Here is a 16607-nt window from a genome sequence, read left to right on the forward strand (position 1 = left end):
GGGATTACAGGCGTGAGCCACTGCGTCCAGCCAAAAGAACACTTTCTATCTGTAAACATAATATTTTTGTGTAATTTTTGGTAGATGCTATTTATTAGGCATCGTGTCACATACTGGGTTCTTTGGAAGTGGGAGCTAAAGTGGAGATTAGGTTGAAAGATTTTATTAGGAATCATAACCTGTAAAGGGGAGAGAAGGGTGATTAGGAAGAGGGAGAAATGAACTGTGATCAATAATACCTCATAGACATGGCAAAGATTTCCTTGGTGGTGAAGTTGTTAGGGGTAAAGTTGTGAGTGGAGGTGATATTGGAGAGAAGGAAAGAACCCCACTGAGAACCTCACGCCTGTAATCCTAGCACTTTGGGAGACTGAGGTGGTCAGATCACCTGAGGTCAGGAGTTCAAGACCAGCCTGGCCAACATGATAAGACTCCATCTCTACTAAAAATACAAAGATTTTCTGGGCATGGTGGTGCATGCCTGTAATCCCAGCTACTTAGGAGGCTGAGGCAGGAGAATCACTTGAACCCAGGAAGAAGAGGTTACAGTGAGTGAAGATCACAAGATGACATCACTGCACTCCAGCCTTGGCAACAGAGCAAGACTCTGTCTCAAAAAAGATATATATCTATATCTATATCTATATAGATAGATATTTATATATTTATATATATTACATATAAATAATACATATTTATATATTACATATAAATATATATTATATATTACATATAAATAATATATATTTGTATATTACATATAAATAATATGTATTTATATCTTAAATATATATAATATATATTTATATATTATATATTTATATATTATATATATTTATATATTATATATTATATGTTTATATATTATATATTTATATATTATATATTATATATTTATACATTTAATGTATACATTAAATATATAATATATTATATATTTAATATATAATATATATATACATTAAATATATAATATAAATATACATTATATATAATGTATAAATACATTTACATTTATATATAAATTTATATGTAAATTTATATATTACATATTAATATGTAATGTATAATATATGTTACATATTAATATGTAACATATATTATACATTACATATTAATATAATATATATTATACGTTACATATTAATATAATATATATTATACGTTACATATTAATATAATATATATTATATGTTACATATTAATATAATATATATTATATATTACAAATTAATATATATAATATATATTATAAATTACATATTATATATAATATATATTATAAATTACATATTATATATAATATGTATTATAAATTACATATTATATAATATATATTATAAATTACATATTATATATAATATATCTCATATATTACATATTATATATATCTCATATATTACATATTATATATCTCATATATTACATATTATATATATCTCATATATTACATATTATATATCTCATATATTACATATTATATATATCTCATATATTACATATTATATATCTCATATATTACATATTATATATGATATATCTCATACATTACATATTATATATGATATATCTCATACATTACATATTATATATGATATATCTCATACATTACATATTATATATGATATATCTCATACATTACATATTATATATGATATATCTCATATATTACATATTATATATGATATATCTCATATATTACATATTATATATGATATATCTCATATATTACATATTATATATGATATATCTCATATATTACATATTATATATGATATATCTCATATATTACATATTATATATGATATATCTCATATATTATATTATATGATATATCTCATATATTACATATTATATATGATATATAATATATTACATATTATATATGATATATAATATATTACATATTATATATGATATATAATATATTACATATTATATATGATATATAATATATTACATATTATATATGATATATAATATATTACATATTATATGAGATATATAATATATTACATATTATATATGATATAATATATTACATATTATATATCATATATAATATGTAGCATATTATATATGATATATAATATATTACATATTATATATGATATATAATGTATTACATATTATATATGATATATAATGTATTACATATTATATATGATATATAATATATTACATATTATATATGATATATAATATATTACATATTATGTATGATATATAATATATTACATATTTATTATATACATATATATTATATATTACATATTTATATATTATATATTATATATTACATATTCATATATAATATATATTATATATTACATATTCATATATAATATATATTATATATTACATATTCATATACAATATATATTATATATTACATATTCATATATAATATATATTATATATTACATATTCATATATAATATATATTATATATTACATATTCATATATAATATATATTATATATTACATATTCATATATAATATATATTATATATTACATATTTGTATATAATATATATTATATATTACATATTTGTATATAATATATATTATATATTACATATTTATATATAATATATTATATATTACATATTTATATATAATATATATTATATATTACATATTTATATATAATATATATTATATATTACATATTTATATATAATATATATTATATATTACATATTTATATATATGGTACATATATTTTACATAATATATGTATAGTTATGTAACTTATATAATTATATTTATGTAATTATGTATATATATTACATATAAATATATATTTATATATATATTTAGATGATGACTTTTCTATACTTCAAGACTTCACTGAGCTATTAAGCATATAAACATTCAAGAAAAGTGTATAGAATGCACTTCCCCCAAAATTGTTTGACACTGTGACTCCCTTTTGAGCAGAATACTCAAGAAAATCATATGCTTTTAAAATAAAGAAACAATAAAGACGTGTGAAAAGACATACAAAAAGTTAAAAGAATTTAGCTTCACAAACCTGAACTACAAACATAAGTCATATATCACATCCCTATTTTAGAGCTTTCAGTGGGTTCTCGTGGCATAATAATAATAATAGTAAGGTAGGTAGATAGGTAAGTAGGTAGATACATAGATGATAGAAGGATGGATAGAGAGATAGATAGATAGATAGATAGATAGATAGATAGATAGATATACAGACAGACTGACAGACCCAAGCTATGCTCAGTGTCTTCTAAGTATCTCTGGCATCTGACTGTTTTCACTGGGTATAGAATTCTTGGCTGACAGGTTTCCCCACCCCATCTCCCTAATTGCAGCATTTTAAAGTTGCTGGCTCTCTGTTTTCCAGCTTACAGTATTTCCAACAAGAATTTTTCTATCACTATTATCTTTGCTCTTACATATGCAATATGCGTTCTTCTCTGAATGTTTTGAAGATTTTCTCTTTATGACTGATTTTGAACAATGTACCTACACTGTGTTTGGGTGTGGTTCTCTTCACGTTTGCTTTGCTTGGGACCCATTCAGCTTCTTGGATTTAGGGGTTACAGTTTACATCAATTTTGTGAAGGTTTTGACTATTTCTAAAAATATTATTTCTGACCCCTTCTCCTTCTCGCATTTGTGGTATCCAATTCGACATATCTTGTTTATTAAACTGCTCAAGCACAGCTCACTCATGCTCTTTTCATCTTTTGGTTTTCTTTTATTCTCTGCATGCTTCATTTGGGGTCGTTGCTTGGTCTACACGCTAACAAATCTTTTCTTCAGCAATGCCCAATCTACCAGCAATCATATCTAGCATGATTTGAACCTCAGACATTATAGTTTTCATCTCTAGAAGTCTGACTTGAATCTTTTTATATGTTCAATGAGTCTATTTCATATTTTTAATCTTTCCTTTGGCTTTTCAAACATGGAACATAATTATAATAACTGTTTTAATATTTTTATCTATTCCATCTTATGTGTCAGTTGTGGGTTAGTTTTGGTTGACTAATTATTTCTCAATTATGGTTTGTTTTTTCCTGTTTCTTTTCCTTCTTCATGATTCTTGGTGGTATGCTACGTATTGTAAAATGAACCTTATAGAGTGCTGATATTTTTGAGTCATGTTACTCAACATGACTCAAAAATATTTTTGGTTACATAGAAACAGTGGGATCCTTTCAGGTCTTGCTTCTAAGCTTTCTCAGTTGGGGCCAGAACAGCCTTTGGTCAAAGGCTAATCATTCCCCACCACTTAGGCAAGATGCTTCAGAGTACTCTGCCTGCCACCTCGTGAATGTAAGAGTTTCTATTCTGGTTGGTTAGAAAAGAAAGTGAGAATAACAATGGGGTTTATGTAATGTCCCAGAAGCCAAGATCAGAAAGTGGATCAGTGAGGGAGAGGTCAGCCATGAAGACCATTGCTGAGAAGGTGAGCTGGATGCTGAGGCTCACTGCATTGGGAACCCATGGTGTGCTGGTGAGCTTGACACATGTCATGTCAAAGACAAAATGAGTCTGGATTGCAGCCAATGAGGCAAGAATGAGGGGTGAGGAAGCGGAGGTAGTGACCGCGGAAAGCCATCTTCAGTGACTTGCCATAGTGGGGAACAGAGAGACGTGGCATCGCCCCTTTGGTGTGGGTTAGGATGGGGGCAAGTAGCATCAAATAAACGTTGATTTAAAAGGCAACAGTTTCTCTGGGTCTCAGAGACATGGAGCTCATGGGATGAAAGGGAGGGGCGTGGGCCTTTAAGGAGGAAGGTGGAGGGTGGGGGGTGGGGAGCCTGTTGGGGGGCAGGAACTGGGGGATTCACGATTCTCATGAACCCATTTATGTGTATGGGTCTCACATCAGCATAAACGCTCCCAGAGCCCCATACACATTTTTTCTGCTTTTCCTGGATAAGATAAGTAAAGAGGTCACAGTGTTCCCATTTGGCTTTGTTGGGCCTTTTTCTGAGCACCTGTGCTCTTCAAACCTTCCCCTCTGAATGCTTGTAAATGTTGTCCAAAGAGGAAGGTCCAGTATCTTGGGGGACATGCCTTCCCCCACCCTCCATGTCTTTCCTGGCTCTCTTCCCCATGAGGGCAGCAGAGCACAGGCCACTTTGAGTGACCCTGAGAGCCCCTTCCTTCCACTTCTTACAAGACTTCACCCACACAGCCCCTACCTGCACCTCCCCAGACTGCCCCCACTGCAGTGCCCCCGCTCCCCTCCTGCAGTGGGGCCCTGAGGGAAAGCGGAGCTCCTGGAGTGGACCCTGCACTGGGATCTACAGAGGATTATCTTTCCCTCCTCCTCCAAAGGGCCCCTTCTGCTTCTCCGGAGACAATTAAGGCCTGACAATTTTTCATAAGGGGACACTGCCCATCCCACTTAGGATGTCCATTCCATGGCCTCCCCAGGAGAAGACGAGTCCACTGACCTCTCCCAGACAGGAATTCAATTTTCCTCTCATCCCACGCTCATTACTTCTGAAGCCGTTAATTGCACATCAAGCTGCTGTGTCTGGCGTGTGACAAATACGTTTCGAAGAATCTTAGAGAAGCCAGAGTGGATACAACCGACACGCAGCAGGCACACTGGAGCATTTCACCAGAAGCGCCTTCGTCCCAGGCAACTGGGAGCTCTTCTCCTCTGCACAAGCAGGTGCCTGGGGAGCGCTGTGGGTGCCTTCCCACAGCAGGCCTTCCGCTCCACACCAAGGTGTCTAGATCAGATGTGAAAACATCCATCAGTCAACTCCTTTTGTCTCTCTCTGTGAAATGATGGATTGACTGCTGCCTTCTCAACTGAACTATCTTGTTTTGGGGAGGGAGGGTCTTCCTCGGCAGTCCGAGTGTCTTGGGCCAGCAGAGCAGGGCAGGATCCGGGAGCTGGGTTTACAGACAGGTGCTGATCCACCCTCCCTCCCAGCCCATGATGGACGGGCTGTGTTAGCAGTCCACTGGGGAAAGGGTGGCCATATTTTGCCACTTATGGGATACCTGGAGAATATGTGATTCATGGCAGTATGGAATCAAGCGAGATAAAACAATCAATTTATTATTTCAGACATTCCTGAGCTTCGCTTTTCAGCCATCTTCAGGTTTCTGATAGTCTGAGAAGCAGAAGATTGCCCAGTAAAGAAATCTTATGGCATGATTTTTGCAAAGCGAAGTCTCTCCTCCCCCTCCACTGGTGAATGATTAGGCAGAACGGCTCCGATGAAGCAGTGAGAGATGGCTTCAGAGCACACCCCTGCATCCCGGGGCTGTTCTCCTGTGCACATGGCAGCATTTTCACATTTATAACAAATGTTCTGCCCTTTGTGGCTGGCACTCATGGGTTCAGGGATATCTGATCTGAATGCTCAGATATAAGGATTATCTGGTCTGGCCTGGTGCTGCTGTGAGGACGAACCAAGTCAGACCTTTCGCCTCTGAGGCCAAGATCATCAGCCTTTTCAGGGGCTTCCTAACTGGACCAGGAAAGCCACGCCCAGCACCAGCCTCACAGGCATGCCTTGATCAATGGATGCCCCGAATTGTCAGAGTAAAACACCACCGTTGCCTGAGACTGGGATGGACCAGCCTCTCTGCGGCCTGGACAAGAGGGCCACCCTGAACCTTCCTCAGTACCCATGACCCAAGCCTTAGGGCAAGGAAGAATTTCAGGAACATGTCTCTTGATTCTAGAAAAAAAAGAGTCTTTCTCACAAATAACATCTTCTGCCCCTAGGGATCTGCTCTTGGGTTTAAGACTTTGAGTGCGTCGTTGGTAACTTCAGAAGGAAAGAAAGTGCTCTGTGGTCTCTTAGCTATTTTTCCCTTCATGTCAGTGAATTAGAGCCCTCAGGCCCAGGGCAGCTCAGAAGGGCAGGTGGCTGGAGCCAGGCCCAAGAGCACCTGCAAAGGGCGTTTACCAGGAGGGGTTGAGGGCCCTGTACACAGGAGTCTTCAGTGGGTGAACCCCAAGCCCAAGGCACCCCAGAAAGGCTGACCCTCCCCCCTGGCCTGGGGCACTCATCCCTTTCCCAACTCTCCATTATAGTTGGAAATGTGCTCCACAAACTGCATTTTCTACCTATCTTCTTCCTTGCTTCTCCCACTCTCCTTGACTAATTTTCTATGTAAGAACATTTATTAAAGTGCCTTGTAAAAATGACTTGTACAGCCTAGGAGTCACTGGGTGGACAGCCCGGGGTCCTCCAAGAGCAGCAGCTGAGTCATCAGATAAGGGCTCCAAGTGTGATTCTGGGTGCCTGGGGGCCTGGGTCCCTGCCCAGGGCAGGAGGCATCTGTGAAGGATGCAGGTGTCTTTGAACGGGCCTGGGGGCATATTTAGGCCACACCATAGCAACCGCGCCCCACACAGCTCTGCTGTGTCTTTTGTTCATCTTCCCAGCCTTGCTCCTTTCCACTCTGAAGTAGGCTGGTTGCTATGGAAACAATAGCATCCTATGGGCTGGCTTAAGGTTACCCACAGGGGTATCAATCTCCATGGGTGACTGAAGGCACAGCCCAGCATGTGGGCAGGAGAGACAATGAGTGCCACTGGGACTCTTCCACCCTCTTCTGCTCTGAGAGGCCCAGAAACTGCCCTCTGCCTGGCCATGAGCTCAAACACGGGCAACGCGTGCTGCCCTGGCTCTTGGTCAGCTGCAAAATGGAGACCCCCACCTGTGTGGAGCTGTAGCAGGAATGAAGCTGCCATCAATCCCAGCACTGCTCTGTCCTTGCGGCCAGGGCATCCAGCCAGTGGGCCTGGCTGCCCCAGTTTACCTGGGGATCACACGCATGCACATTCCTGTCCATCACCCTTTTCTCCAGGGCCTGCAGGGGCCTCTGATCCCCTGGCCTGGGAGGCCCCCTCAGACTCACCTCCACGGCTTCAGGTTCTGCCCCCTCCATGGGTCCCGCCCTGCAGAGACTCCCCGACTCCCCTCCGCTCCTCCACCCTCAACTTCCTTGGGGCCCCAGCCTGCGTGGCTGCCCCTGAGTCCCAGCTCTGAGGCCCAGGGCCAGCCAGGCCATCCCAGGGAAGCTTCTTCAAGGGAGCTTCTAAGGGCTGTTCTGTGGCAGCTTCATTTCCCATCACTCTAGGGGACACAGGACCATGGCTTTCCAGTACACACTGGCTGGGTCTCCGGGGACCTGGCAAATTGGCATTTTGTCTCTAAACCACTCCTGAAGGGCAGCAGTCCATGCGCTTCTCTCACCAACTTCTGCAGAGGGCATTTGGAGCCCTCCTTCTCCTCCAGGTCCCAGACTGCCTTCTGATTCCAGCACCTGGGTTCTCTAGCCCCTGCCTGCAGCCCCCCTACCCAGTATGGGTATAAGGTCCTCTCAGGGATGCTATACCAGGCCAGACTCTGCCAGCTGCTGCAATGTCCCCAGGCTTCTTGCCTATTCAGGCACAGAGTGTGGGCGTTTTCCCTGAGCCCTCCACTCCTACCACCCTCCCGGCCCTGGACTGTATCCCCCCATGCCTCGCTCTTCTTCCCCAGGAAGGAAGGACTCTGCTTTTTTCATCCTTCCATGGCAGCTCCTTTCCTTGAAAACATAACAACACAACTGGCCTCTGGGGCCTGTGACCACCAGCTGAGGAGAGACCTTCTCAGAGCAGAACACCCACAGGATACAGGTTGGCCTCATGGAACCCACAGCCGGCCTCACCCCCAGTTGTGGGCCGGGGCAGCCTCCATACTTCCCATGGGCTATGAACTGGTGGAAATTCTTTCCAGAAGGATGCAGACCCTTACACACAGTGTCTTGTGATTAAGTATGAACCACTTCGCAGTGTACTATATAGAAATGAAAAGTGTGGGCCGGGCGCGGTGGCTCACACCTGTAATCCCAGCACTTTGAGAGGCTGAGTAGGGTGGATCACGAGGTCAGGAGTTTGAGGCCAGTCTGGCCAATATGGTGAAACCCCGTTGCTACTAAAAAATTTTTTTAAAAAAATTATCCGGCCATGGTGGCATGCGCCTGTAGTCTTAGCTACTCGGGAGGCTGAGGCAGGAGAATTGCTTGAACCTGGGAGGTGGAGGTTGCAGTGAGCTGAGATCACACCACTGCACTCCAGCCTGGGTGACAGAGTGAGGCTATGAAAAAAAAATGAAAGAAAGAAAACAGAAAAAAGAAAAGTGCGTGTGGCATGTGTGTGTCCCGTGGAGAGAGAAACTATGCACTGAAGCAAGATCACTTAGGGGAAGGCTTTTCATGGTCTTTTCACTTTGGGGGAAGGTCATTCTTTACTCCATATTTCTCTAATGTCTGCTGCTTATACAGCATGTATGCTTTATATTTGAGATCAGAAAATAAGGGCCCGATATCGCCACAACCTAAAGGGATCTGAGATGGTGATGCTGCTGAGATGGAGTGAGCAGTGCTCCCCGGAGCCAAGGCTCTGTGCTCAGCCTGCCTGTCCACTGTCTGTTCACCATCTTGAACACGTGCAATGTCTATTTGCAGCTAAGGGCAGGCTGTGAAGGAAACTCACTGTCTGCTGTGTCTATGATGATCCCCAACAGTGCTCCTGGGACCTTTCCCAGCACCAGAGGTGCAGAAGGTGTTCACATTCCTGGAAGGTGAGGTGAGGACCCTGACATGCTTCTCTGACGGTGTGTGTGAAAATGTGCTCCAGCAAGATGAGGGAGAGTGATGGGAGACCCAGGAGCTGCTGTGTCACTGGCGAGGGCAAGACACACATGCTGATAAAGACATCTCAGGAAAGCTTGCCTCACCGCCTGCTCACGCTGCCTCTTCTCAGTTTCCCTCTGCCATCCGAGCCTGGTTTTTGCCTTCTACCTGCATATCTCTGGCCCTTGTCCCTCTCTTCAAGGCCAGAGAGTAGAGCCAGCTTTAACATGAGCTGAAACTCAGTCTGCCTGGAAGACTACCCTGTAGAACCATTAGCTGCATCTGAAACCAAACAGAAGCAATATTTAAATTATCCACCAACCCCTCTGCTCATGCAGAGAGAGGAGAATTGACCAAATGCTGAGCAGATGAGTATTACCAGGCTGGCAGATGACGGGGTCAACTGTGCAAGGCTCTGTCCAGAAGAAGGATGGATTCCAGGGCAGACGTTGAGCTCCCCTTGTCCACAGCACCGGCCCAGCCAAGAAGAGTGCAGCATCTTCATCAAGATCATGCTTGGATGTGTCTGCAGCCTCTTCCATCCAGAGTTCCCATGGGCACAGGCCAGGGTCTGGACCAGCCGAACCCAGAAAAAGCTGCCACCAGACAGAGAAACTGGTAAACAGCATCCCCTGGCCCAGCCCACGAGCCGGAAAGTCATTTCCTTTCAGTTTGTGGATTTGGATGAAAACACAAGCTGCAGCCTTGCCAACTTGAGCTGATTGTATCTATGTGATTGTCAAGGCACCGCAGTGAGTGGGGATGAGGCTCCACTGCAGCAGGCCCCTGGCCTTCTCCCACCTCCCGGACCTCCTCTGTGTCCCTGGGCTGTCCTGCTCTCCCCTCTCTGCTTCCATTCCTCTCTGTTTTTCTTTCCTCCTTTCTTCCTTCTCCTCACTCCCAGCAGAATAGAATTTACCAAAATGACTCTTGTCCTGTCAAACATTTGAGGAATAGCCTTTTAAGTGGCAAGCTGTTTATTTCAAGACCCGATTCCCAGCATCTCTCGGCTTTAATTAAAAACATTTGTAAACAAGCTGATGATTGTCACAAAAGTCCCATCTATGAAACAATAAGAACAAAGAACAATCAGCTGAACATATAATTATGAAATAGTTTTCTTTTGAACTTTCCAGATGGGATTGGGATATGCAGTTTAATAGAAGATTATGAGCTGCAAATCCATTGAATACACAAATATTTGCCGTCTGTGTTCAGAAGGCACAGTGGGGAGTTGCTTTTCAATGTTGTATCTTACAGCATCTCGTCAAGACCCACTGCCAACCGATATATAAGCCAATTAATTCTGGACACATTTAAAAAACAAATACCAGCCAACCACCTGTTTTCTGGTGCCAGCTTTTTGCCACTTCACTGGTTTATAAACAGGCCAGCAAAGCGTCGCCATGGTTCCACGCAGTTGGCCTTGAGGATGAGGCCAATTCATTATCTTGTGGTCCAGTGTGGTGCCCAGACAAGCTGCTCACCCAGGCCTGTCGGCAGTGATCAACGGCTATCTTTAAAAGAGCTGCCAATTCGGGAGAAACTTCCAGAATCACATCCTCCTGATGAACAGAGAGAAATGTGCAGGAAAAAAAAATCAGAATCAAAAGCTCCTTAAAGAGAAAAAAAAACATCCCAGTATGCCACATGTCATCAGCAGTGGAAGCCAGTAATCCTGAAGTTCAAGTCTTTCCAAATGACCGGTGATGGATGTGGCCCAGCTCACAATGTCTCATAAAGCAGATTGTTCTATTCAATGCTTACCCGGAAGGGTAAAGATTTCTGTCATCTAGATACAGATGAATACTAGGAACATCGATAGCGGTTGCTACTAAGTCAATTATTCCTGCAAAAAGACGTAGGGTGTATTCCAGCACAGATCAGTGTTGCCCAGAATGGGTCATCAAGCATGGTCAGAAAAGATCCATGTTGGGATAAAGAAAATGGTTTTCTTGATATAAACCAAGAAGGGATTCTAAATCCCAGGATCATCTAGTACTTAATAGAGAGACAACAACAGAGCCATAAAAATTAAAACCAAAGATGCATCCAGTGCTTCCTTTTCTTGATGTAAGTTGTATGATATACCTTTAGTGGAAAAGAGACAACTCCAGGAAGCCAGATCCCCCACGGGACCCATCAGCGTCTTCAAGTTAGAACTGGTAGTATCTCCATAGATGACTTTCACTGATGTTTCAAACAAATCTTAGTGAGACAATTCCTCTTTGTTGTATATTTGAATGAAATATTGTATATTAATAATATTTGTACAAATTTGGTTTTGTTTTTGTTTTTTGAGACAGAGTCTCTCTCCATCACCCAGGCTCACGTGCAGTGGTACAATCACTGTTCACTGTATCCTTGACTTCCCCTGGCTCAGGTGATCCTCTCTTCTCAGCCTCTTCAGTACCTAGGACCACAGGCATGTGCCACCATGCCCTGCCAATTTTTGTCTTTTTTGTAGAAACAGAATCTCCCTATGTTACCCAGGCTGGTCTGAAACTCCTGGGCTCAAGGGATCCTCCCACCTTGGCCTCCCAAAGTGCTGGGATTACAGGTGTGAGCCACTGAGCCTGGCCAATGCCGTGTGTTTGGATGCATAGAAGGCACCATGGCAAACAGGAAGGGCACACACCCAATCTGCTGCCTGCATGGAAAACCAGAGAGTCCACAGCTCCATTAGACCTTTTCCTTCAACTCACGTAGGCTCATTTGCGAGTCTTGGTCAATGTGCTAAGTGCGCAGTGTGCCTGGGTGAGCACAGTGCACTTGTGAGCTAATGGGGCACTGAGCAACCTCACCTCTGGCTTTCCTTCAGCTATCAGCAGATGCTGAGGGTGGGAAGAGCAGGAGATATGTGCAGACCTCATCTTATCATCTTAAATTATCTCTCTTTTTATTGAAACTTATGGCATTTGGGGAAGAGGATGGGTAAATTTGGAGAGTATTTTGAACTTGGACAATGTGCCCAAGCTGTCTTATATTTAGTATTTTAATTGGTCAAGAAGAAGGAAAAGGCAAATAAAAACACCTTCGCCTCCTACCACCTTTTAGATGGCAGAATCTCAGCAATGCAGTCCTGCCACAGTGTACTATTATGTAAAAAGGAAAAAAGTGGCGTTCAGATGATCCAAACCAACAGTTTTATAATTTTGGAATCTCTATTCCTGGATTGAACCACCTTGTAAATGGTGGGAATTGGAGTTCAGCTGCTCGCCTCTTTATTCTGAACAGACAAGGGGGACTCTTCCTGTGAACTAGGACAGTGTCAGAGACCAGTCTGCAAAGGCTCATGAAGGAGCCGCTCATGCTTTACAAAATTCCAGAAGATGTTTCTTCATTCCAATTTCTATAAGTGCTGAAAATTATGTTTTACTCTTTTTAAATATAAATTAATCTAGACTCACACTTAACATTTGGTGTGTTGATTCTACCTTAGAAATTAATCTAATATTTCACACTAGCTTGACCAGTCTTGCCAAACTATGAAAACATTTACTGGCTTTTACATCTCTGAGGAGCAACACAAGAACTGGACTTCCCTGAAGCAGTCATCACAAGCACCCAAAGACTTCAAGGGCACAGAACAGCAAGGGGTCACCGTTCACTCCCACCGTGCCCATGAAGGACCAGACACAGCTTCTACTCTATGTCATCCTTGCTAGACAGGTAGCTCATGCTGTCTCAGCACTTTCTGGTCTTTTGATTCTGGAAGTGCTTTGCACAGTGTTTATTCCAACAGGAACTTTCCTGGTCGGTGAGCACGGCTGACAGTGAGCCACACTGTTCCGCAGTGGGAGGAACCCAAGCCCCATATTTGACACTAGAGGAAAGGAATGACCCAGGCGGTGAGCAAGTGACCCCAAGGCGACCCAGCAAGGCGGTCACAGAGCCCAGATTAGAGTTGGGGCCAGAGTGCTCAGGCCAGCCACATCAACACCCTGCCAGCTTCTCCTCGCCGACCTGACTCAACGGTATGCCAGGGCGATCTCTGGAAAATCCATTTGCAGAAACCCTACAACAAGGCCAGACGGCCTGAGGCCACCAAGCCTCACCTGCTCTGCCCCTCCAGGGCAGCCACGCTGGATGACAGCATCAGTGGGAGATGAAGAGGGGCACTGTGGCTGGGCCTGTCCCTGTCTTTTTAGTTTGCCTGAGACAGTGGGCACTCATTTTTGAAGAAAACAGGCAGTGTTTGGGATGTGGAGTGCCACCAGGGTACCAGGAGCTGCAACTGCCCCGTGGGGGGAGAAATGCAGCCCAAGGGCTGTCCCCAGGAGAGCCAAGGGGCTGGAACCTCTACCCCAAGATGATGGTGGCGCCTGCATTCATTTCCGTGCCTGCTGCAACCAAGTACTTCACTCTTGGTTAAAAAATAGAAATGCATTTTTCTCATGGGTCTGAAGGCTCCTTCTGCGATTGTGAGGGAGACCCCGTTCCTTGCCTCCCCCCAGCTTCTGGTGGCTCCTGGTGCTCCGTGGCCCCTTGGCTGTGGGCATGTCACCCTGGTCCTTGCCTCTGTCTCTGCATAGCTGTCCTTCCTCCATGTCTGTGGGTCTCAAATCTCCCCCGCCTCTCATATGAGGACACAGTCATTAGATCCAGTGTCTGCCCTAAATTCAAGATGATGTCACCTCAAGGCCCTGAACTGAATTATACCTGCACAGACCCTGCTTCCAAGTGAGACCACATTCCGAGACCCAGGGTGGGGGTCAGGATGTGGCACATCTCTGTTGGGGCTGCCATTCGTCCACTGTAGGGCCCCTGCCTTTTGATTCTTTAGAATGGCCCGGGATTCAAGGGAGGGGCCTTTGTTCCTCAGCCCCACAGAGAGCAAGTGACGCTCACCTTGGAGAGACCTCAGAGGCCTGGATGGAGTGGAGTGTCTAAAAATTCTGCTGTGACTAGAATGAGGCCAAGGCCAGCAGATGTAGTTTGGGGTGGGGAGGGCAGGGGGCACTCCTTGGCCAGCCCATGTCCTGCAAAGTGCTAGTGATGAAGGCAAAGCACAGAGCCTGGCCTGCGGGAGGAACCATGCACAGACGTGGTACCAAGGTTGGATTACTCAGCACTCCCGACCCCGCCTTGGACCCGACAGACACATCATTCCAACAAGCAGGTGAGTAACAACACATGAGTCAAGTCAGTAATCCACAGTCCTAGGAGTTCACGATTCCATTCAGCATTCCATTTGTTAAGTTTCAAATTGAGAACAAAACCCCAGAAGTGAGACAATTTCCGTCCTTCTAATCACAAACTTGCATTCGTCTGTGTTGCCTCGTATCAATGTAGAATACATTATCATTTTGAAAAATCTAATCATGCAGTTCAGGTAAATGGACTCAGAATTAAGAATCTGGAAAGGAAAAAAAAAAAACCCAGAATATTAAAGGTCAAGTGTAAAGAATATTAAGCTTTGAAAGGCAAGGCACAATTTCTAGTTATGAATTTTTCACAGCCTGGCTAAGGGGCTTCGCATGAGTCAGAGACAGTTCTGCCCTCAGCTTCTTGTGATAAAGCCTGGATGAGCACCGGGTTCCATTCCAAGGGGGCTTTGGAGACCGCAAAGAGACGGCACATTCAGGTGCACATGAGAAATCTAAGGTGCTTGGTGAAGAACATGTTTCCCAACCAGAGCAAGGGAAGGAAAGGAATCTTTGTTAATGGAGAACCTGCGACGTGCTGGCACCTGTAGTTGGCATCTCATTGAACATCTCAGCCACTAACGCAACTTCACATTTATTTTTAGCTGATAGCATGTTGCAATTTGTCTGTTTGTTCTTTTTGCTCTGACAGTTTTTACTTCCTGCATTTTGAAGCTCTATTATTAGGCACAAACATTTATAATTGTGGGGTCTCCCCGATGTATTGATATCTTTATTATTATGAAATGTTCTCTTAGTTTTAGTCTTACTTCTTTTTCTAAGCCCTGTTTTGCATGGTGTTGATATAGCATCTCTTGTTTTCTTAGGATTACAATTACTGGTATGTGTAGTGTATGTATGTGTGTATGTAAATTTACACACTACACACACCACATATATACACACACATACACACATACTGTTTGCCATCATTTTCCTTCCTGCTAAAGGACTGCTAGAACAGTCTGTGGCTGACAACTTTTCTCGAATTTTGTTTATAAAAAAAGCATTTATTTCACCTTTAATTTTGAAGCATCATTTCATTGAATATAAAATTCTGTTTTGATTTTTTTTCCCTTTAGCACTTTAAAGATGGAGTTCCATTTTCTTCTTACCTGAAACATTTCTCATGAGAATGCTACCTTATGTTTGTACATATTTTTTCCCTTCCATGTGATGTGTTGCATTTCTTCTCTGGGTGCTTGTAAGATTTTCTCTTTATCTTTGGAATGCAGCAATTTGACCACGATGTGCTCCATTGTGGTTTTCTTTGTATTAGGTTGGCACAAAAGTAATTGCAGTTTTTTGCCATTATTTTTGTGCCAACCTAACATTTACCCCACTCAACATTTGTTAGTCTTCATAGGTTTATAAATCAATGTTCTTTGCCATCTTTGGCTATCATTTGTTGAAATATATTTTCTGCCCAATCCTCTTTCTTCTCATTGTGTAACTCCAGTAATACATATGCTAGTCAGTGTGATGCTTCCATAAGTGTCTTTAAGGCTCTGTTGCATATTTTTAACATTTTTTCCTTTTTATTCTTTAGATTGGATCATTGCTATTGCTCTATCTTCAAGTCTGCTGACTCTTTTTATTTCTGTCTACAACCTTCTGTTAAGTCTTGCTAGTTAGTTTTCATTTGATTTTTTATAGTTTCCCAGCTCTCAAATCTCTACTTGATTCTTTTGTTGTATTGTCAGTGTCTCTGCTGAGAGTCTCATCTGTTTAGACATTGTGCCTATATTTTTCTTTAAGTCCTTGAATATATTTATACCTGTTAACAGTCATTGTCTGCTCATTACAGCGTCTGTGTCATC

This window comes from Homo sapiens, chromosome 10 (assembly GCF_000001405.40).
Source record: "Homo sapiens chromosome 10, GRCh38.p14 Primary Assembly".
Taxonomy (NCBI): Eukaryota; Metazoa; Chordata; class Mammalia; order Primates; family Hominidae; genus Homo; species Homo sapiens.